General features: G+C 38.0%; 1 protein-coding gene across 57 annotated transcripts in view; it reads right to left on the bottom strand.

Annotated features, from left to right (window-relative positions):
• The window catches only part of LPP (LIM domain containing preferred translocation partner in lipoma), a 737651-nt gene that overhangs the window by 401072 nt on the left and 312941 nt on the right, over positions 1-23638 (bottom strand). For all 57 annotated transcript variants that reach the window (NR_164692.1, XM_047448103.1, NM_001375457.1 and 54 more), the window contains one exon: positions 4896-5008. Coding sequence is in view for 56 of the 57 variants with exons in the window: in XM_047448103.1 (XP_047304059.1) it covers positions 4896-5008 (113 nt within the window). In the remaining variant the exon portion in view is untranslated. The remainder of the gene's footprint in view (positions 1-4895; positions 5009-23638) is intronic.

Raw genomic sequence — 23638 nt, 5'->3', positions numbered from 1 at the left:
TTTAAAATAATAACAAGCCCCTACAATAAATTGTCAATGGTTTCAGAACAAAGAGTAGGTTCCACAGTTAGAAACACAAGGCCTACCACACTTACTTTGAGCTCTCCTTCCTCTGTGTTTTAATTCTTTTATTTTATTGCTGAAAAATCCACTCACCTATCTGAAAATTAAGGTCCCACCCAGCCATCAAAGTTCAGTTCAATTTAAATTGTTTCTATGAATCCTTCTTGCCTCTCTCCAGTCACAGTTAATTTACTTCCCTCACTCTCCACCACTAACCTAGGACTTAGATTATGCTTCTGATCAATGTATGATGACCAAAGCATAATTTACCATAAAATGACTTAAATGACTGTGTATATGCATCTTCCGAATGTGATTCTGAGTACTGTACTGATCCATCTCCTTATCCTGCAGCACTGCCTCACCTATCATAATTACCCATAAACATTTTGTTATGTAGGAAAAAATTACAAGATTCAAACAATAGAAAGGAACTTGAATGTATTAACTCTAATTCTCTTGCAAGTCCAAAATTCTGAGACACGTGACTTCTTTGTAACTACCTTAAGCAATGTTATATAATACTAATACTTGCCTATGGCCTGGCTGAAAAGAGGAAGAAATTACCAACTGTGGGGTCAGATAAGAATAAAACTAACTGGCCGGGCGCGGTGGATCATGCCTGTAATCCCAGCACTTTGGGAGGCCAAGGCGGGTGGATCACAAGGTCAGGAGTTTGAGACCAACCTGGCCAATATAGTGAAACCCCATCTCTACCGAAAATACAAAAAAATTAGCCAGGCGTGGTGGTGGGTGCCTGTAGTCCCAGCTACTCAGGAGGCTGAGGCAGGAGAATCGCTTGAACCTGGGAGGTGGAGGTTGCAGTGAGCCAAGATCCCGCCACTGCACTCCAGCCTGGGTGACAGAGTGAGACTCTGTATCAAAATAAATAAATAAATAAATAAATAAATAAAACTAACTGACCGTCCCAAGGCTGAGACTCAGAGCATTAAACCTATGATGCCAAGTTTTAAGGCTATAATCACTAGCATATATGTCTACTTACAAGAAGCATTCAATTTACACTGAATGAATGAAGAACAAATGAATTAATAAAGTGATTGCTGAAGTGTCACTACAAACATCACAGGCATGGAGGTCACGTTGATCCTGACAGAAAAGCAAACCAAATCCTTCCCCTGTTTTCCAAGTTGCATCTTCCCACATGAAAATGAGAACTGTTAAACCAAGAATCCTTAAGGCTAAATATTTATTTGCCTTTTTTGAAGAAATAAAAGCTTATAGCATATATCAAAAATTCAGACAGCCAAGCAAAACTCCGGCATCACCTGCTCCTTCCAAATAAAAACGTGTAACCCTCTGCAATGAATCTCAGAGCCTTGAAGTCTGCTAGAGGACTAAAGCAAAACCAAGTTCATGGGCCATCTGGGACAGCAGGAAGAAGGTCAAGGCCAGGAGTCAAGATTTTTCAAATTCAATAAGACCTCTGTCAGAAACCAGAGGATCCATCCCTTCTTGGGTCTCAGTTTCCCCATTTCCAAAAAAAAAAAAAAAAGGAAATTAATTTAGCAAATACTTGAAAGGACTGTAACTAGATGCCTGGCGCCAGAGTTGGACTAAATGATCTCTAAGGTCCCTTTCTGCTCTCAAAATCTTACAACTCTTATAATCACTCTTAGTAGACGTTCTTTTGGCTCTGACCTGAAAATCTGGCTGGAAACATAAACAGTCTTCTGCATAAAAACACACATTTACCAGCTATAATTTGGACTTGGGAACATGAGGTTTTAACCATAGCCGAGAGGAAACTGCGCAGAATTTTCTCCAGTGATCATGCTACTTTAGGCTCTACCATGGCTCATTTCTATAGCTGGTACAAACCTGGGCCAGAGCAGGACCAAGCCGCTATCACATCTAAGTCACTTCTGCACAAGGGGAGGGCATGTTCGTTTTCTTTTGAATGTATCAACAATCTTCCATATGAAGCGTCTCAAAAATAACAGGCCTCTCCCTACCAGATTTGTCCTTTTCCATTTGGCAAACCGTATTTTATTTTTTATCCTCCTCCCTTCTGTTTTACAGAGAACTTAAGCCAACATGACAACAGGCATTTTGTTTATTTCCTTCCTCTTCAAAAACAAAGCCACGGCTTGAGTACATCTAACAGAACAAGGTCCACCTGAAAAAAATTCTTCATTATCTTTTGAAAGCCCCATGGTTGAATTTTTTAATGGAACCCACTGGAAAATCCTTACTAGTCTTCTTACATATTAATAGTGATTATTAATATAACATCAAAATATTTGTATAGCCCTTTCAGTTTAATACTTTCAAATCCATCTGTATTTCATTTAATTGTAAGAGGTATATATATTTGTTTTGTTTCTAATGAAGAGGAAACCGGGACTCAGCATGCATTGCGCAAGATCACACAACTAGAATAATCTATGTAACTAGTTTTCAATCACGAGTCTTCTGTCACTACTTCAAATAACATTGTGAGAACTAAAGATTTAAAATGCAACAAAATAGTTTCTATGACAATCTAAGAGAGGAAACAGAGTCAGTGACTTTAAAAATTGTACATATTAAACAATATGCAAAAAACCAACTTCAGCAAAGTAAGACCAAAGGTATATTAAAGCCAAAGCTAAGGATTTCCTCATTTTATTAAAAAATGACTAAAATTAAGAAAAATCACTCATATTGGTTTTATTTGCCAAAGGTTCTATCTGTTACATAAAATAAATACAAACTTTATAGGACTCTCATTCATCACTGGCATCTGATAGTTGATTTTATTAGTATACACCAAAATAAAATGCAAGAAATTCATGGCCTATATTTGCAATACACATATTTTTCAATAGCCTTAAAAGATCTAGACTCCAGAAACTGAATTGGTACTTACTGGTTACAACTGCAATTTACTGATTTCAAATGATAGATAATATCAAAAGCCTTTTCTACTTCTTAATATCTACTATATGAAAATACACTCCCCAAGAAATCTCTAGAGCTCATTCCCTCCTCTCCTTCTTCAAGTCCTCATTTAAGCGTCGCCTTCTCAGTGGGGCCATATTGATAATGCCCATCCTAGTAGGTAAGCCTTGACCCCCTCCCTGTTTCCCCACTTATCCACTCTAATGTACTTTGTAATGTGCGTATCTTGTTTATTTCCACTAGTCCCACTAACTTTTACGTTCCCTGAGGACAGAGTGGTGTCTGTCTTTTTTGCTATAACATTCCTAGTGCTTGAATAATGCCCACATAGGAATACAGAATATTTGTTGAGCGAATGAATCATTTCTTTCTTTGTCTCCTTCAACCTCAAATTTAGGAGAAAGAAAGGCAAATAATAGAACAAACCATTTAAGCAGTTGTTCCCTAAGACTTTTTCTCTTTTACACTTCTTATTATAGGATATTTTAAACATATACAAAGGTATATGTTTAAAAGACTGTATGCCTATATCAAAATATCTCATGTATGCCATAAATACATATCCTACTTGTAGCTACAAAAATTAAAATGAAAAAATAATACTGTAAAACAAATGATAAAATTAATGAGCAATAATTCAATATATTTTATGTTCCACAAATGATATTAGGTATTTTTTAAAAGGTAGACGGAATAACAGAATAAACTTCCATGCACCCAACAGTTATCAAATCATAACCAACCCTATTTCACCCATGTTCTCACTCAGTAGTTTCCAACCCTTATTATTTTGAAAATAATTACCAGACACCATTCCATTTTTTTTTTTTTTTTTTGAGACGGAGTCTCGCTCTGTCGCCCAGGCTGGAGTGCAGTGGTGCGATCTCGGCTCACTGCAAGCTCTGCCTCCCGGGTTCACGCCATTCTCCTGCCTCAGCCTCCCAAGTAGCTGGGACTACAGGCGCCCGCCACTACGCCCGGCTAATTTTTTGTATTTTTAGTAGAGACGGGGTTTCACCGTTTTAGCCGGGATGGTCTCGATCTCCTGACCTCGTGATCCGCCCGCCTCGGCCTCCCGAAGTGCTGGGATTACAGGCGTGAGCCACCGCGCCCGGCCCATTCCATTTTATCTACAAACATTTCCAATGTTTCTCTGAAAGACAAAGAAGACTCATTTTTTTCTTCAATGTATCTATGCGAACATAGTCACACCTAAAACTATAACAATAATTCTATCACTTTATTAGATTTTCTTCTTGACATAAAGCACTTCTTCAGCTTAAATGGTGGCAGCTTTCGGCAGTTACCGATGATCACAGTCTGAGAACCACTTCTAATGTCACATCTGATCCCAGCCCCGAGTTACTTTGCAATTACCACTCGCTGGAACCCAAGAGTTCTATATAATTGATAAGTATGATGTGCACCCTTGAACTTACCCAGAAGAGAAAATCCTAAGGATATTTGATGTTGCTTTTGCTAGAAAAATGTTGCTGACCAAAAGGATCCACATTAACCAACTACAGCCTTAAAATGTCAGCCTTACTCACTTGAATGCAATGTTTGAAGATAGAGAACATAGCAATAAAAAGACATGGCTGTATGTCCTCCAAAATAACAAGGAAATGTTGCCTTCTCAAATAGTATTCCTAAAAAAAAAATGGCTTTGGGATCTGAAACAAAATTAGTAGGCAAAAGTATTTTGAGGGCTTCAGAGGGTAAGCCAGCAGAACTCTGGGAAGCTTGAGTTGGGTATGTTGCATTAAAGTACCTTAGATCTTCATAAGTTGTAAAGCTCTCAATAGGCTCTGGATAAATGTTTATCCAGCACAGAAACACTCATGAAATTCATGAGCTCCCTAGGATGGCTTATAAACATGACTTTAACTTCAGCTCTTACCTAACATGACTTTAACTTCAGCTCTTACCTGTACTTTGAAAGCCTCTTCATCAAGAGGTGGTGGAGGAGGAAAGTTTCCAGAGATAGATGGAAGGGCACTGGAATCATCTAGAGGTGGAGGTGGGGGTGGAAGAAAATCACCTACAGAAAAGAAGTAAACAACATGAAGTTAATAAGGATGCAACGTTATAGTACTCGTGATATATTTGCTGGCATTTTACTTTTTTATAATTGGCTTTGACACATAATTTTGTGTTGTATAGCAATTATTCCCCATCTTAGTTTAATTAGTAGCCTTAATTAGTAGTCTTAACTTTCAGAAGAAAGAGTATCGGATTTGATATTTAGAAATGGTATAAAAGCTAGTCTAGAGGGGTCAATATATTAAGCAAAGCGAAGAATGAGCTTGGGTGGGAGATAGAGTTACTGAATTTTATACACCTTGGTGCTTGCCCTCAATACATTTTCAATCAAATAGAGGAGGAAGAAAAATTGTACAAAACTAAAGATAACACAAGGTGTAATTTATAAAGATGCATGAATAACCTCTGGAAATTAAGATAAAGTGGAGGATCATGGAAGTCTCAGTGGATCATATAATTTTCCTGAAACATGATGTAGAAGGTACGTCCATCCTTGGTAGAGAGACAGGAGAATGTAGGCATGGCGATCAGAAAGTTCAGAGCATAGAGAATAAAAAGCAAGTCATGACATAGGAAAAACATGGGACACAGGAATGTAAAATAATGCCAGTGAGTTATAAAGATTAGATATGCGATAAAATTAAGGTTTTTACATGTTGCACATCAAAAAAAGGGTTTGAATTTTATCATGCATGCAGCAGAGATCCACCAAGGATTTCTGAGAAAGAAACACTTGGTTACAATACGATTTACTAAAGACTAATGTAAAAGTCCATGCAGGACAGATTAGGAGAAATGAATAAGAAACACCCAATTTAGAAATCTATACATAATCCAGGCAAGAAGTAATGAGACTTTGGGATACCGAGAAAAACCTAGCATCTCTTACCAACAAGAGAAGCACACTGCTGTCAGAGTTATTGAGGGAGTGAACCTGATCTCTGTGATCTAAGTTATACACATATATCCAAGAGCTTTATGGTTCCTGGAATGAAACCTTTTTAAATAGTCTGCAAAAAACTGTATTGGGGAAACAGAAACTTCTACCTTTTAACCTGTTCTTTATTTGTTATTTTCCTATTAAAAATAATGTTTTTGATGTGTTGGAGAAGAGATCTTTTCTATTTATGGAGGAGTAGCCTTTCCTTGCATTTTAGTTGCTCAACACTTTGTGGGTTAGGGCAGCAGTCTCCATCATTAAGTGAGTTGCTTTTGGATATTATCAAAACATCACAGTTTAGGCCCTGAGAAATAGAAGTATAAGAATGGAAGAGTGAGCACATTAGAATGACTGTGAGTAGGTTTTGTTGTTCTGATACACCTTTGAAATGGTTCAGTTTGCCTCTATTTGCCTTATAAATAACAGTCTTAGAATTCAAAGTGTAGCTAAGCCAAGAACTGTCAGGTCTAGCCCCAAGCCAAATTCAGACTGCTAAGCAATCAAAAGCACTATCTCTCGAGTACTCCGCTTACTAGACTCGCACCATGCCAGGCAGTTTGCTAAGATTTTCATACACTGCCACCGAATCATACAACAACCCTTAAAGCTGATGGTTCTCAAACTTTAGAGTTCATCAATATCTCTGGAATGTCTTTTTAAAATACAGATTTTTGGGTCCTGGATCCAGAGATTCTGATTCAGTAGGTCTGGGGAGAACTCCAACCATCTTCATTTCTAATAAATCCCTGTGTGATCGATGCCTTTGGGTCTGACAGCACACTTTAATAACCACTGCATGTTGTTACTACTTTAGACCCACAGGATAAGAAATGTTCAATAACTTACAACATAAAGAAAATTTCTACTCCTCTTATTCTCTGGGTGCACAAATCTGTGGAAATAATTTGTACATATCCTTATGACAATTATAAATCCCATAAATCTGTATGCATTCCATTCAGTAGTTTTAAACATTGGTTAAATACCAGAATCACCAAAGAAACACATTCGAAAATGCTGATGTCCAAATTCCATCTCACAGCAATTCAATCAGAATCTTGGGGATAGAAGACAGGGAGTGAGGGGGTCAGGCACCAGGACACCTATAAAACCTAAGGGATTCGAACCTGCAGCCAGGATTGAGAAACTTTCATTTGGCCACAGACTGCATGAAAAAATATTTCATATCTGTTAATTAAAAAGAACTGTCAAGAAGTTTTTTACTGCCTTTAAAGGTCATATGTATGAAAACAGTGCTCACAATGAGAGCTTAGGCAATGAGGCAAAAAAGGTTTAGGTTGCTGTTCACAACCTAATTTCCAAGTTCAAATGTTCTATCTGAATCTATGTTGTATGAGTCTGTTCTCTCACTGCTATAAATAACTGCCTGAGAATGGGCAATTTATAAAGAAGAAGAGGTTTAATTGACTCACAGTTCTGCAGCCTTGACAGGAAGCATAGCTAGAGGGCCTCAGGAAAGTTACAATCACGGCAGAAGGTGAAGGGGAAGCAAGCACATCTCACATAGTGGCAGGAAAGAGAGAGCATGAAGGGGGAACTGCCATATAAGTTTAAACCATCAGATCTTGTGAGAACACACTCACTATCATGAGAACAGCATGGAGGAACCACCCCCATGATCCAATCCCCTCCCACCAGATCCCTCCCTTGACACATGGGGATTACAATTCAAGACGAAATTTGGGTGGGGACACAGAGCTAAACCATATTACTATGTCTTCTTCATACCCATTTTATAAAAGGATTCCTGGGTCCCCTCTTATACTTCATCAGATTCTGTTACATCATGGGAAATTTTCAGAGCATCAGACAGTATCAGAACTGAACAAAATCTTGGAGATCATATTATCAAACAGAGGCCCTGGGTGATTGATGTGACTGGGTCTGAGATCGCACTTTGAGAACCACAACATGTTATTCCTACTTTAGACCCACAAAATTGGAAAGGTTCAATAAACTATGTCATAAAGAAGCTACATGAAAAGTCCAAAATGTCACAACAAGTAAGTCTTAAAAAGTACAACTGTCTGTCCCTTCCAAATATATCCTTCTTTACTCTGTTTCTCTAATAGAACTCAGACACAGTGAGGCACAGGCTGCTGACAATCCTGGGAGGGTCAAAACGAACAAAAAAGAAAAGTGGAATGTTTTTGGTTTTTTTAAGAAACAACTTGAAAAGATGGATTCTATATTCTAAGCATGAAAAGGCAGATGTTTAAAAGCCCTCGTGATAAACACATAATTATCTGCTTTATTTAGATCAATTATTAAGTCAGACCAAAGTTTTCAGTTCTTTAAGCTTAACCATCAAAGGGTCCTTACTGCATTCCTTAGAGAGGTGCTCACGTTTTCAAAAGATGTAGAGGAACGGGCAAATGTCTCAAAAACAGATACAAATCTGATAAAAGGAGAGGAAATGGTTCCCTTGGAGAGAGGCATAAACTAACCGGGAGAGTTTCAATGAAAAACTGCTAATAACTATCCTAAATCAGACTAAAAGTTTAAGAGAATTCTAACTCAGAGCTCATCATTTTCATAGACAAGTAAATAAAGGAAAATGCCTCTAAGTTGCAGTGAAAATAAGTTCAGCTTTAGAGACAAGGCAGAATTATCATGTTTAAGAAAAATGGGAAAATGAAAAGAACTGTATTTATATATGATTAGAAGAAGGGGGAAGGAGGTCTTCTCCATTCTAATAGATTTCTGAAAACAATGAAAGAATGAAAGAGCATGCGGCTTTCATTCCTAGGTGGTGATCCTTCTGGAGGAAAGCCCCTGGATGAAATGAAATGCAGTACCTTCCAGCCAGCACAGCTAAGCTGTAGACCTTCATATTAGTGCATGCCCTGTCCTCTCTGCCTTGCCTCCCAGATTCTGTGACCTACAGGGAAATTGCAACTCACCTCCCAGATTCTCTGACCTACAGGGAAATTGCAACTCACCTCTCAGACTCTGAGACGTACAGGCAAGCTTTTAAACAAAACAAAACAAAATGCCATCCGGCAATTGGCAGCGATGTATCAAATCTAAAATGGAAATGTCCAGTTTTAGAAGCAGTAGAGTGGTCATAGACACGTGCCTTCAGACCTGGTCCCTCCATACTCCTCCACTCATCCTCCAAATCCTACCTACATACAAAATATATTTATGCCTCAATTTTCATGTAAAATGGTTTATTCAAAGTTACATAGCTGGTGAAATACAGAGCAGGAAATGGATTCTCACTCTTGGAGAGATGCTGAGACATATCTTGCTTGATTTGCTCCATGTGAACCCAAATCATTCAGCTAATATTCAAAAGGTTTTTGCTGGGTGCAAGAGGTAGCAGCAAGAAACAGTTAAATGAGGAGTTGGACAAATCAAGTATTCCATCTCTGATTCCCAAACACTACTTACTGCCAATTTACTTCAGAAAACAGCCTGTTAGGCATATTGTTAACTCAAAAAGGGAGTGAGGAAAGACTCCGGAGGACCTAGCTATGCATATTTTCTCAAGCTCTCCCTTTTAATCTAGGGGTAAAAAGGATGCGGCCTTGAGAAGCAGGGATGGTTAGCTGGGACCAGCTGAGCTATTCCCCACTGTGGTTACCCTAACACTTGCGTCAGTCAGATACGAAAGGCATCTACCTAACGCAGAGCTTGCTTAGCCCTTTATGAAACAAAGGCCCCCATCAGAGGGTGAAGATAACAAGAATTTACCTGCAAAGTAAGTAAATTACTAGTTATGGGTAATTGTGGTAGAAAAACACATGGGAACAATTCAACTCTGACTATCAACAAAGTTTGGATTCATTTACTGTGGTACAAAAAGAAAACAAAGAAAGCATCATGCTCTTCTTCATCTAAATATCCATATAAAACCTACACACACATCCAAGGATTTAGATAGCAGCCCTTTTTGCGTCTCATATACAGTTCTATCAGAGCATCTGTAATACTTGATTGTATTTGTGTGTTATGATCACTCCCTCCTGGTTAGAACTGCAGCTTCTTACAAGTAGAGTCCACTCATGATTTATCTTTATATGCCCATCTCTAGTCACAGGTTTGGGCCAGAACATCCTCAGTAACTGTAGGTCGCATGACTGAAAAATAAAAACCCATTCAATTCCTTAACTGATGTTTTAATAAATGACCTGGTGTCTTTGACTCGTACATCTCAGATGTCAATGTTCCAATCATCGGGGAACCTAGATCAAACGCAGACTCTGATTCAGGTCCACACTGGAGCCAGAGATTCTGCATTTCCAACATGCTCTCAGGTGTTGCTGACATAGACCCATGGGCTGCACTGGCAGTGACATGTCTCTAGCTTCTGCTAGCTGGCAGCTATTGCTTCTCCCACTTTGTTGAGGGGAGAATTTTTGGTTGTTGGAGGAAAATCTAACTATTAAGGTAAGCATAAAAGCATGTAGATACTCCACAAGTTAACTTTCTAAATTATGAAGTCAAAAGAGACTGGATTGGAATACCTACACACACACGCACACACACAAGGTGAACACTTTTTTAATCATGGTTAGCAAAGCATAAGTTTCAAGTAAAGACGGTTATTCATTTCCATTAATAGTAACTAGTGGCTGGGTGCATGGCTCACACCTGTAACCCCAGCACTTTGGGAGGTCGAGGCAAGCGGATCAGGAGGTCAGGAGTTCAAGACCAGCCTGGGCAACAGAGTGAAACCCAGTCTCTGCTAAAATTACAAAAATTAGCCAGGCGTGGTAGCAGGAGCCTGTAATCCCAGCTACTCAGGATGCTGAGGCAGAGAATTGCTTGAACCGGGAGGCGGAGGTTGCAGTGAGCCGAGATGGAGCCACTGTACTCCAGCCTAGGCGACAGAGCAAGACTCCATCTCAAAACAAGAAGAAAACAAAAAAACAAAAAACTATATAGTAACTAATACAGAAAAAAATATATGTTTGAAAGGAAAATAGTACGAAATTTTAAGTCCAAAAACTTAAAACACAAACCCCAGCTCTACCCTTTATTTCAGGCAAGGCAATTCTATAGTCCCAGACCCAGTTTTCCTCACCTATGAAATGAGGAAAACCACAGCTACTTCACAGTGTCAATCTGTGGATCAAAGCAGCTAACACAGTAAGTCTGAAACTTTTTGACCACAACCTAGATTAAAAAAATATATTTTATATAATGTGGTAATATTGCTATCTAGATATGTACACGTACATGTATACTAGAAAAAAAGGGTTTCATGAAACCATACCTACTATATAAATAAAACACACATTGAAATGCTCTGTTATTTGAAAAAAAATTGGTTCTGACCCACTAAATTGACTGTGGCCCAGAAATAGGTCTCAATTTACATTTTGAACATAACTGAGCTAAATTACGTGCAAGTGATTAGTACAATGTCTACATTATACATGACAATGCTTTCTTTTTCCTTATGCACAAGAGGGCAACTGAATCTAAACTTGATCACTCAGAGGAGGAGACCAAGCTCCCTGAACAAGGTCCCTTAAAGAGAAAAAGTGAGAGGATAAAACAAAGGTAACAGCAATGATGATCTCCATAAGGCAATGAATTATGCCACAGCTATAATGTACACTCCACAGACTACAGGCAATTTATTATGAAACTAAATAAAGGAAGACTTCACTTCCAATTTCAACTTCAACTCCATCCTCAATCTGCATCAAAATATGTGTGCCACCAAGAAAACTGTACCAGAAAGCACCTTGGGTGAAATATTTTTAAATGCAGCATTCAAGGCCTAGGACAGCATGTATAACGTTATCATTTATTTAATAATGTATACACATATATGTATGTATTATCACGGACTATCTTTTAAATGGAGTCCCAAACTATTGATAACAGCAAGTTGCCTCTATGAAGCTAAATTTTGCAACTGAGGAATGAAAGTAGAAGGGAAATACTCTCCATTATACAAATTCTTAACCTGTCATTATTTTACCCATTTATAATTTTTAAATAACACATATGCACAAAACAGAAATTTTCAGTACCTGAAAATGTGTCATCTCCAATTGTTCAGCTGAGTAAGGTTTTAAAAACCACCAGGAAATGCATTACAGCAAAGGCCAAGAGAAAAATTGAGGATACATCCCATTTAATGCATCACTTCTCGGCCTTCTCAACCTATTTACAGTGCACTGGTTGGAACTAACAATATGAAAGCAATTGCACTGACTTGCTCAACATGCTATTTCTATTAGAGACGAAACCTTTTCAAGCTCTTTTCCTGTCCCACTCTGCCCTTCTCTCTGACAAGGAAGGGGTTATTAATTTGACTGATCCAGCTACTACTGTTAAAGTCTCAGTTTTAGAAAGCAATACCCAGGAAATCTCCTTCTTAAACTTCCTGCTTCAGACCTCTGAGCATCTGGCTCCCAGGACAGACCAGCTGGAATGTTGTACTTCTTGACTCTAAAGCAAAGGATCAGAATGTCAAGCCAGGTCTTCAGGAGCTGCAGCTCACTGAGTATGTTGACTTCCAAGATACAGTGGTGTGAGGAAGATACCGGATACAAATTCTACTTATTCCTAGAGCCAAAGCCTCTGCACTATGTCAGTGGGATCACAGACCTCTGTCCCAGAGGGAGAGCAAGCACTTATGAAGCTATTAATAAAGCGGCACCTGGATTCTCATTTTGCTCCCGTTTCTACAGCGTGAAACTCCTTTGAGAACTCTCTGGGAGAGGGATAATTATCAGGGCAAGGCTTGGCCATTCCATGTTCTCTGTCCTCATTGTCATCAAAATAGCACAATATATCTCCCTTCAGTGACACATCTTCCTCTGTAAATAAGATATGTGACCTTGACCGAGGAACATTAATTTTTTAGTTATCATGCTAGATATCCTTAAACTTCAGGTTCCTTTTATACATTAGAAAAATTAACCTTTCTATTTTTCTTCCATTTGTATTTTCTGCTATTTAACTAGAAAACATTACTATTAATTTTGATAATACTCAAGTTGCTAACAAATTAATTAAAAGGAAGGACTAAGATTAAAAATATTGATAAAACACAGAATTGATAATAGTATAGGGAAACCAGCATTCTCATATGCTACTGCTACTAAACTTTTCTCAAGAAAATTTGGCAAGAGGAATCAAAAGCCTTAAAGATATTTATAAACTTTAATTCAGCAATATCACTTTTAATAAATTATCCTACCAAAGAAGTAACTTAACATGCAGAGGAGCATGTTAAGGAAACTTCATCACAAAGCAATGTAATGCAAAAACTCAGAATGTTCATTAACAGGGTACTGGTTGAAAAATAAATTGCAATCATACAGTGGGAAATTGTGTGGTCACCAAAATAATGATGTTGATCTACATCTTACAACTATTTATTCATCGAGTGCCATCTATATATCATACATTACTCTAGACCCCAGGGAAAAACAAACAAATAGAACTAACAAAGTGTGCTTCTCCACGAAGCCCCATGGAACTTATACTCCAAAGAAGAATAATGCTTAAAAAGTAAATCAAACGGAATATCACATGGTGAGAAGGGCTATGATGAAATGTAGGGCAAGTAAGGGGGTTGGGACTGTTAGGGTGGTGGTGGGAGTTGCAATTTTAAAGAAAAAAAAATGAAAATGGCCTCACCAAGGTGATATTTGGGGAAAGACTTAAATCTAGTAAGGGAGTAAGTATTGGCATATCCGGGGGAAGAACATAAAAAATTGTTTTTCATATCTTTTTTGTTTGTTTGTTTGTTTTTGAGACAGAGTTTTGCTCTGTCGCCCAGGCTGGACTGCAGTGGCGCAATCTCGGCTCACTGCAAGCTCCGCCTCCCGGGTTCAGGCCATTCTCCTGCCTCAGCCTCCCGAGTAGCTGGGACTACAGGCGCCCGCCACCACGCCCGGCTAATTTTTTTGGATTTTTAGCAGAGAAGGGGTTTCACTGTTTTAGCCAGGATGGTCTCCATCTCCTCACCTCGTGATCCGCCCGCCTCGGCCTCCCAAAGTGCTGGGATTATAGGCGTGAGCCACCACGCCCGGCCTGCTTTTCATATCTTATCAGGTAAGAAACAAGGGAGGTTATTGAATAGTGCTTATAATATGGTCCCAATTTTATATAGGCCTGTATGTTAACAGGGGTTGTCTACAGCTCATGAGATGCTAAGCATTGTTTTCAATTTTTTATCCTTTTGGCTTAATTATTATACAATAAGTGAATTATAGGCATGCATTTTTTTAAAAAACCAAAAATAAGATACTTTAAAATGAATCGCAGAATCTACTCAAACCCAGCGTTTAATTTTAATGCATCAGTATATGTACTCAAGCCAAAATTTAATGTCCCTGTCATCTTTCTAAATAACTTAGCTTGAAATGCTCTTTGAGATTCTCAAATTAAAAAGCAAGAAGAATTATCTTTAAAGTAGATGACGTCTCCCTGATTTTAAATTGGACAGTTTCACTCCATATTTAGCTAATACAGAATATATCTGAGACTTTAAAAGTCCTCTTTTATAATCACAAATAAGTACCCTGTACAAATGTGAGACACCTCAGTGTATTACATGAGATACAAGCATACTATAATTCTCTGTCATGCAGTGGTTGGATAACAAATTCAATTTCTCAGTAGAAAACATTAAATGGATTTCAAATCGTATGAAATTAAGACAATAGTCTAGCTCTGCACATCGACTAGAACCAAATAGCACTTTTGAATCCACCAAGTATCATTTGTTTTACAAAAACATAGTAATTGCTATCCAGACAACAAACCACACCATATATTTTTGACTTCCAAAGATGAGCATTCAAAATAAATAGGACAATGAGTTGAGCTTAATGCATCAGTCTTCTATCAGCTAGTGAGATATCTTTAGCTCCAATGCGAAAAAGTAAAATTACCTCGGTTTAAAAATGAAACAAAAATCTAAAAATTCATGTGATGGACAGAAAATGAGGCAACATCCCAGGAAAACAACAACAAAAAGTCTTAATTTACCAGTAAAAACAAAGAAGCTTGCAAACAAATATCAGAGTGCTGACAGAATAGTCCAAAAACATCCTTTCCCCTTAGGATTGGGACATTACCCTGTGGTGGTCATTAAGGCCAGAAGCTTACAACCCCTCCAAAGACAATGATGGTGCCTGAGGGAGCGTGGTTTCATAATAAAAACACTTTAAATAGGGCATTTAATTTATTTCACCACTGCTGTCTTTGGCTATAGAGGGAACCATTCTCATGTCAATGCATGTCAATGCATGTCAATGCATTGTCAATGACATGTCAATGATAATGCAGGCTTCCTTCCTGCTGAAGCTCTATTACAGCCAATATTCTGCTCTTTGTTAGCTTAATTGGATAACTATTGGTTTCCCCTACCTGATTAACAGCTCCTTGAGGGCAGACTCTCTGTTTTATAATCTCTACATAAAGCATATAGAACACATATGAGATACTCAGTAAACAGTAATGATATTATTGCTATAAATTATTATTGGTACAAAACTACCTATATTAAATTGAATAGAACTCTTGAGACAATGAACACATGAACTTTTCCCATGGTCAACTTTGCCACTTTTCAAATATTGACATAAGGTCAACAATGTACTACGGTGGGTCATAGGTCCTTCATGATACCAACAGCTAGACAGTTAATAACCTGTCTTAATGTAGCCATCTAGCTAGGTTTTTTGTTTGTTTGTTTTCACATTATCTTACTGAGGGTATGTCTTCAAAGTATAGGAACAGAGTCTTCATCCTCAAGTCACCACCTGGTTATGGGGGCACCCTAGCCTTCAGAAATATTGCAACCATCTGTACTGTATTGATCTTCTCCAATAAAAGATCTGTTGATAAGCCTTACCCAGTATATGTATATCCCTTAAGAGTATAAAGAGACATTTAAATTTGCTTTTTAATCCCATAAAAGAGAGATGGAGATGAAGAAAGAGCAGAGAAATGAGGGAAGGGGAAGGATACATGTCATAGACAGAATTTGAAAATACTTAGCTTGAGGTATTGAAACTCATCTGACTTTTAACCAGTGGTGTGTATCGGAATCTCCTGGGGCACTTGCTCACACTACATACACCCAGACTTGACTTTAGAATCCTTAATTCAGAATCTTTGGGGTCGGGACCCAGACAAGGACCTTGCAAAGCTCCTTCAATGATTCTGGCGTATAGCGCTGGTTAAGAATCATTGACCTTCTGGAAAAACAAAGATTGAACAACTCTCTCTCTGAAATTAAAGATGACTAAGGTGACAAGGCAATAAAATGCAATATGTGATTCTGGATATAATTCTAGACCAGAAAAGAGACATCACTAGGACAATCAATGAAATCTAAATAAGGTTTATGTATTAGAAGGAAGTATTATGTCAGTGTTTACCTGGCTTTGGTAACTCTACCGTGGTTATGTAAGATGTCAATACTTGGGAAAACTGGGTGATGACTAAATGAGAATCCTTTATACTATTTTCAACCGTTCTCTAGGGTCTCAAATTATTTCAGAATAAAAAGTTAAAATTTATGTTTTAAATTTTAAGGAAAAAGTAAGTCATTGAACTAGTCCAATAACTTTTTTTATAGATGAATACATTTTCCACCATGGAAAAAAAATAGAGAAACAGTCAAAGAATGTAGAACCACACCAGGCAGCCCACTGTGACCCCAAATATCTTAACTTCTAGCTAAGGACACACTGACCACAGCACATGGCAGACTTAGTGTGAGAAACTGAGACTTCTTGGGAATGGTGAGAAAACCCGCTACACCCCTACAAATTCAGAAGACTATGAAGAAGAGAAGAGGTTCTTACTATTTAGGAGACTTGGAATAGACGAGCAGGAACATGTAAAATATCTCCAACAAAATCCAGGCTGAATGCAGCATGGCTAGGCTGGTAATCCTGCCTCGATGATCAGCAGCAATTAAACCCCATAAAACTTCCTTTTCCCCAATGTTGGGGCTCATTCTCTTGCTTCAAGAGAATCCCCGAAGACAAGGATGGCTACATGAGGCCAGGGGCCTTCTGTGATTTATCCAGTATTCATCTTTTATGCACAAATGACTTCAAATTCTTCTCACTGAGAAATTCTTGTTACTATTTATATAAAATGATGCCAACCATTACTCACTCTCCTTCAACCCTGACATTTATTTCATCAAGTCTGAAGCTTAGCAAATGCATGAATGCTTTAAAAATAATCAAATAGAGACACTCATTTCATTTCAAGGTGGTTGTTTTTTGGCATGTATTTTTTTTTTCCAAAGGAATACTGGAGCTGACAGGTACTTGCTCTAAAAATTTACTTCACCACCTGCTAGCTGAAATATTGCTTTCATGGATTTATATTGTATTAAAAGGTCACTGGCTGTTTAAGTCTTAAACAGTTTTAATCATTCTAAAAGTCTCTTAACAGTAAGAAAAGGAAGCTCAGAACAAACAGCAGCAGGGACTCTAATTAAAAGGGCCAATTCATCTAATTTTATTTGGGGTTAATTATTCAGGATTCACTCTTTGATGTGTAAGGAATAGCAATTAGTAATTTTAGTGATTTGAGAATCATTGGAGGTGTAATCAGTTAAAATGAGTGAGTGTTTACAACACAAGATGGTGAATTAGTCTCTCTCAGCTGGAGAACAGGAACATTAGGCTCCAAGAGATCAAGGCTAAGGATTTCAGATCCTAGTAATAATAGTCACTTCAAAATAAAACACATGTCAACAGCCATCTAGCACTCTGTTTACTCTTAGCTGAGGTAAGGCACAGAAGCCTCATGAAGCTGCCTTTATCCAGATCTTGATTTTTGCTGCTGTCCCCAACTGCTTCCCAGTATCTGGCTCTTGTGCCATGGTAACCATAAATGCATTACATTAAAAAAGCAATTCTAAATAAATACACCATTTATAAGTAAAATAAGACCCAGAATAATTGTGGTACTCATTGATTTCACCTCTGAATTTCTGATTGCTGAATGAGCATCATCAAATGAACCTCTAGCTCAGTGCTCAAATCTGAATTTAGATAGGATAACCCACAGACCTGCTAACCTCCTCTTGTGTGCTCTATTTTTCTATTTACCTTATCACAATTCTCCCTATCACAAAGGTGGAAAACCCTTTTCCTTTTTATCTTAACCACCCACTCTGAATACAAACAAGCTATATTAAATTACACCAAATTTTTCTAATTCATTTACTGCTCTGCATCTCCTTTGCCACCAAAATACCTAATGCATAGTTACCTCATATCTAGACTAAACAAATAGCCCAGATAGTCAACATTCTTCCTGACCCAGGTTTTTCCAATGTATTTGATACAACTGTTGCTAGATTAAAAATATCATGGCTCTCTTTGAATAGCCAAAGCAATCTTGAAAAAAGGACCAAGTTGGAGGACACTCACTTCCTGATTTCACAGCTTATCACAAAGCTACAGTGATCAAAACAGTGTGGTCCTAGCATAAGGACAGACATAGAGACAAATGGAATAGAATACAGAGCCCAGAAATAAACTCTCTAATATATGGTCAATTGATTTTATGGCAATTATGCTGAAGTTTTAGAGAATTATGGTTTGAGAGTATTATTGGAAGCTTGGTAAACGTCTGTTCTGAGCCTCCCAAGATTTGACAAGATCTCATTCTGAAAAGGAGGAATCCTCTAACTGGATGGGCCTCTTATGAGGCAATGGAGAGAAACTTGATAAGCTTTGTTGTCAAAGTTTGTCAACAAACTCTGGAATGTACTGGTGAGTATGTATCCTTTGAGACTAATACTGCAGACAGCAGCACTGGACATTTTATATTTCAGAATAATGACTTTTGCTAAGCCACATACCCGGTAATCTGCCAGAATGCTTCCTCTGGCTTCCTGGACACCAAGACTTTGCTCACACCTCTGTCTCCGTTAAGAGTTTCCTCTCCACTATCTGAGCCCAAGCTATTCTTGGAGGCCCATGTCACCCTACACTACTATCCTTTGCCACCAGACGAAAGCATCTTCCCACCTTCAGCCCTCTATAGTAACTTTAGAGCATTATCAAGGTGGATCTTGTGGAATATTCATGAGACATTTACCTCACTAAACTGTGTGCTCCCTGAGGGCAGACATCATATATGAGTCATCAGTCTATCCTAAAAGCACCTCTTCCAATGCCTCACAGAGTTGAGATGGAGAAGATTTGGGAAAATATTTCCTGAGTGGGTATATGCAGGAATTTTTGACAACTACACCCATAAATTCTAGCCCAATAAATTAGTCTTTAAAGGAAGATTGAGAAACTGAGTGACTACCAATTTCAAAATGTGTGTGTATGTGGTTTATGTGTGCGTGTGTGTGTGTGTGTGTGTGTGTGTGTGTGTGTGTGTATGAGAGAGAGAGAGAAGAAAAGAGAGGTTGAAAGATTGAAATAGGGAGACTCAATTGAACATCACCATAGGGATGATCTCGGCAATCACTGCTGCAGTTAGGTAACTTACATATATAAAAAAATAGCTCTGCGACATTAAAATGTGTAAGTTTTTGTCCACTTGGAACCATTTACTAGATGTGTGTGAACCTAGGGAAATCATGAAACTTTTGATTCTCAATATTTTTGTTTGTAAATGAGAGCAACAGCACTTACCTTTTATACTACCCAGGGTTGTGTAGACCAAAGTATTTAAATTTAAAAATACAACACCCTGGTTTTTCTTCAGATGGTATAAATCTTTCGCCTTTTACTGAATTTAGAAATACCATAAAAACTATAATGTCCTACATAAATATAAGTTATTTTTACTGTGAGATTATTCTTTATGTGACTTGCCCAGAAACACATTCTTCACAAACATTTAGAAGCTCAAATATAAAATATAGTTAAGTGTTTATTGAATAGATGCTTTACTGTTAACATGGCTCTTAGCACACCAGGGCTCCAAAGAGTTAGGGGTAAAAGAAAGACAGGGAGTGAGAGAAAAGCATAAGACCGTAACTAAAACGATAACAAAACAAAGTCCTAGAAGCCAAATAAACAAATATTGTGTTCTCCCCAGAATGTTTAAAAATCTTGGAAAGGAACTGCATACGGAGCCTCGGGGTAGTACTGACTTGGCATATCAAGCCCTTGTGCAACTGATTAACCCGACATTCCCCTGGGTAGGGGAGTATTACTAGGTCACTTTTTTCTTTAATGGACAAACTGTTCTCGAACAATTTGCAAGACATAAACAAGCTATTGTAACATACCAATCAAAGAGGGTAGTTTTGTCCTCAAAAATGCGATGATGTAACCAAGTCAAAACAACCGCCACCACCACAACCACCACAACCGGGCAATCAGACAAACAAACATATCCCAATTCCGTCTGCCTAGCTCTGGATGGGCTCTTCTTTACCCACTTTGATGTATAAACACACAGTCCCACATCTGCAAAGGTTAAGTCCCAGATCAATAGCAAAGTTTACAAGACCTCCAAAATCTATTGGATGTTCTTCATCCAAGAACTTAACGGTTTTTGAATTAGAATACAGAGTTCACAATATAAAGGGTTCTCTTGAAAAATCAACTTTTGTCTCTAAGGAGGCCCTCCATAAAAAAGTCAATCCTTGGGTTTCATTCACTCTGCTTTCTTCACTTCCTCAGATTAGGAAGTCATGGGATAGAAGACAGTCCCAAATTGCAAAATTTGGTGACGTGTTCTGAGCAGAAGTTCAGCCACCTTGTTATTTTAGCAGACCAGGTCGGCCAGCCCAAAGACATAATTTAGCTGAGTGAGGAACTTGTTCCCTCCTCCTGCTTCATTTGGCCAGCTGCCTCAGAAGGTCTTTCATTCTGGAGTGCAAAGGATTTATTGCTCCCTTTTATTCCTCCAGCAGTAGTTCCAGTTCACTGAGTTTCAAGTTCAGCGAGCTCAGCTTTGGCATTCAAGGATCTCCTTATGTCTCATCCTAAAGAGAATTTGTCCCAGGTCCATTTGCCAAGGACATGGTGACAGTCCCCTTCCTGGCACTTGAGTCTCCAATATTATGCTTCTTCTTATAAACAGACCCATCCAATCACTTGAGTTCCTTCTTCAGGTCTTACTGGCACTTCCTTGGCTTAACTGACACGGCACAATGTTATAAACTGACAGAATAATCATATTAGACAGGAATTAGAACAGAATAAAGAGGTCCGCTAGTCTACAGGTCAACAAGCAACAGCCAAATGGCCAAATCCAGACCACCTCCTGTTTTTGTAGATAAAGTTCTTTTGGAACATAGCCAAGGTCATTCATTTACTTATTGTCTATGGCTGCTTTTGCATTCCAGTGGCAGAAATGAATAGTTGTGACAAATACCATATGGCCTATAAAACCTAAAATATTTAGTTACCAGATTTACAGAAAAGTTTGCCAAACCTGATCTAGTCCATAGACTCACATTACAGATAAGAAAGTTAAGATTTAGTAGGGTTAAACAGACAGGAAATAAAATTTTCAAAGCAAAATACCCAGGGCAGTGCCAGGCATATGGTGCATACACACTGAGTAAATACCACCTCTGGTGTTTGACAGGACATTTCGTATTCTTTTCATATGGAAATGGACTAAAATGATTTTTCAAAGATAGCATTGTTACCCTTGAGGAATTCATTGCCTAGAAAGGAGAAAAACATATAAACAGATCATTTTAACATGATATTGTGTGTATTCGTTTTCTGTTGTTACTACAACAAAGTACCACAAGCTTGGTTGTTTAGAAGAACAGAAATATATTTATCTTACTGTTCTATAAATCAGAAATCAGTTATGCATATCAATGCACTAAAATCAAGGTGTTGGCAGGGCAGCATTCCTTTCTGGAGTCTCTCCAGAGAATCCACTTCTTTGTCTTTTCCAGCTTCTCAAAGCTACTCCTCATTCTTTGGCTTGTGGCCCCTTCCTCCATCTTCAAAGCCAGCAAAGACACGTTAAGTTTTTCTCACATCACATCACTTCAAAGACCTCCTCTGTCCTCTTCTTCCATTTGCTATCACACTTGTAATAGCGTTGGGCCCATCCTTATACTCCAGGATAATTTCATTATCTTAGGTTAGCTGATTAACAACCTTAGTTCCATGTGCATCATTAATTTCCCTGTGGCATGTACCCTAACATATTCACATGTTCCAGAGATTAAGACGTGGACAACTTTGAGGGCTATTATTCTGCTCACCACAACATACCATAAGAAGGGAAGTCTGCACATAGTGCTAGACTCAGAGTAGGAACATCAGTGCAAGGACAAGTATAGACAAGAGCAAAAGTTCTTGTATTCATCGTACCTATTTTCCAGAGTTCCTCATGATTTTCTAAGAATTTCTTTATAATTTCAGCATATTTTTAAAAAATTTAAACATATTATTTAAGATACTTCTATTTTTTAATGCATTGTTCTATTCTTTTTGTAACTATAATCTTGCTACCACATTTAAACAAAAAACCCCTATTTAATATTAGATTGAGGAATTTCAGGAAGCAAGTCTGAGTTAAGATTGCAGCTAAACAAGTTTTATATTGTCCCCATAGGATTGCTTTTCTTAGGTCCATTTTATGGATAAGGAAACTATCCCTCAAAAAGATTAGGAGCCTGACCAGAATTATACACACCAGAGCTAAAGCCTAGAGAAAATTGTTCTATCTATTTGAACCTTATAAACAGAATGAAAAATGTTAGTGCAGAGTTTTTGCAATGATTCACATAGCAATGCCATAAAGGCGGGGGGGCGGGGGGAGGTGGTGACAAAATCCATCACATTGAGAAAAATGAATGTTATGATTAGCAAACAGGTGGAGTTTACACAGCATATATATATATATATATATATATATATATATATATGTTCTGAGATGACAGAAACCACTTTTTTCAAGTATATTTAGCTCTTCAGACAAAAATATAACTGAGACTAAAAGGCATAAAAATATGAGCCTCTACTGTCATGATATAGAAAGAAAAATTACAAGTTTATTTAGGGAAAAAAATGAAGAGTTTCAAAGCACCATATTAACGAAGGTATTATCAATAGGTATTTATAAACCCTGAAGATTAAGGGCAAAAATTAAATAGAAATTACCTGGTTTGAGGATGTGAGATTGACAAATAACTGGAAGTATTCAAGTAGAGGCAGGAAGGCCACTTGACATGAATATTATAAAGAAGATACAAGCTTTATTAATCCAAGGAAACTGCTTAGTAGCCCTCTCGACACTGATGGTTTATGATTCTATGACTCAAAATGCAAGGGTCAATTAATGGCAATAAGAGACTAAGGCTTCCTTTAATAGGTATAGCCAGAAAGCTCCTCCTGATGCCATAAGATGGCCGTTAACCTAACTGTAAGTAGGCACTTTCCAGGCACATTACTTAAAAATAATTCTCCAGGCAAGATCAGACAAAAAGCAACCAGTAACGTGGACAATACCAATGAATGACCCTGACTCTCCCATCTCACTGCCGTGTTGAAAATGAAGCCTTTAATATTCAGAAATTTCCACAAAGTTATATTCTACTGAACTATTGAGCCATGATTTTCCATATGACAAATGAGTAGTCACCAGGCAGTCTAAAGGAGAGTACCTAGGATTCTGATCCTCGCAAATCTTGCCCCTTCTTCCTGCCCTGCCAGGAATCCCTAAACCTTCTTCATGGAAATAGCCTATCCCCTTTGACTTAATGGATAGTTC

The sequence above is a fragment of the Homo sapiens genome, chromosome 3 (genome assembly GCF_000001405.40).
Source record: "Homo sapiens chromosome 3, GRCh38.p14 Primary Assembly".
Lineage (NCBI taxonomy): Eukaryota > Metazoa > Chordata > Mammalia > Primates > Hominidae > Homo > Homo sapiens.
This window is presented reverse-complemented; position numbering and strand designations above follow the sequence as displayed.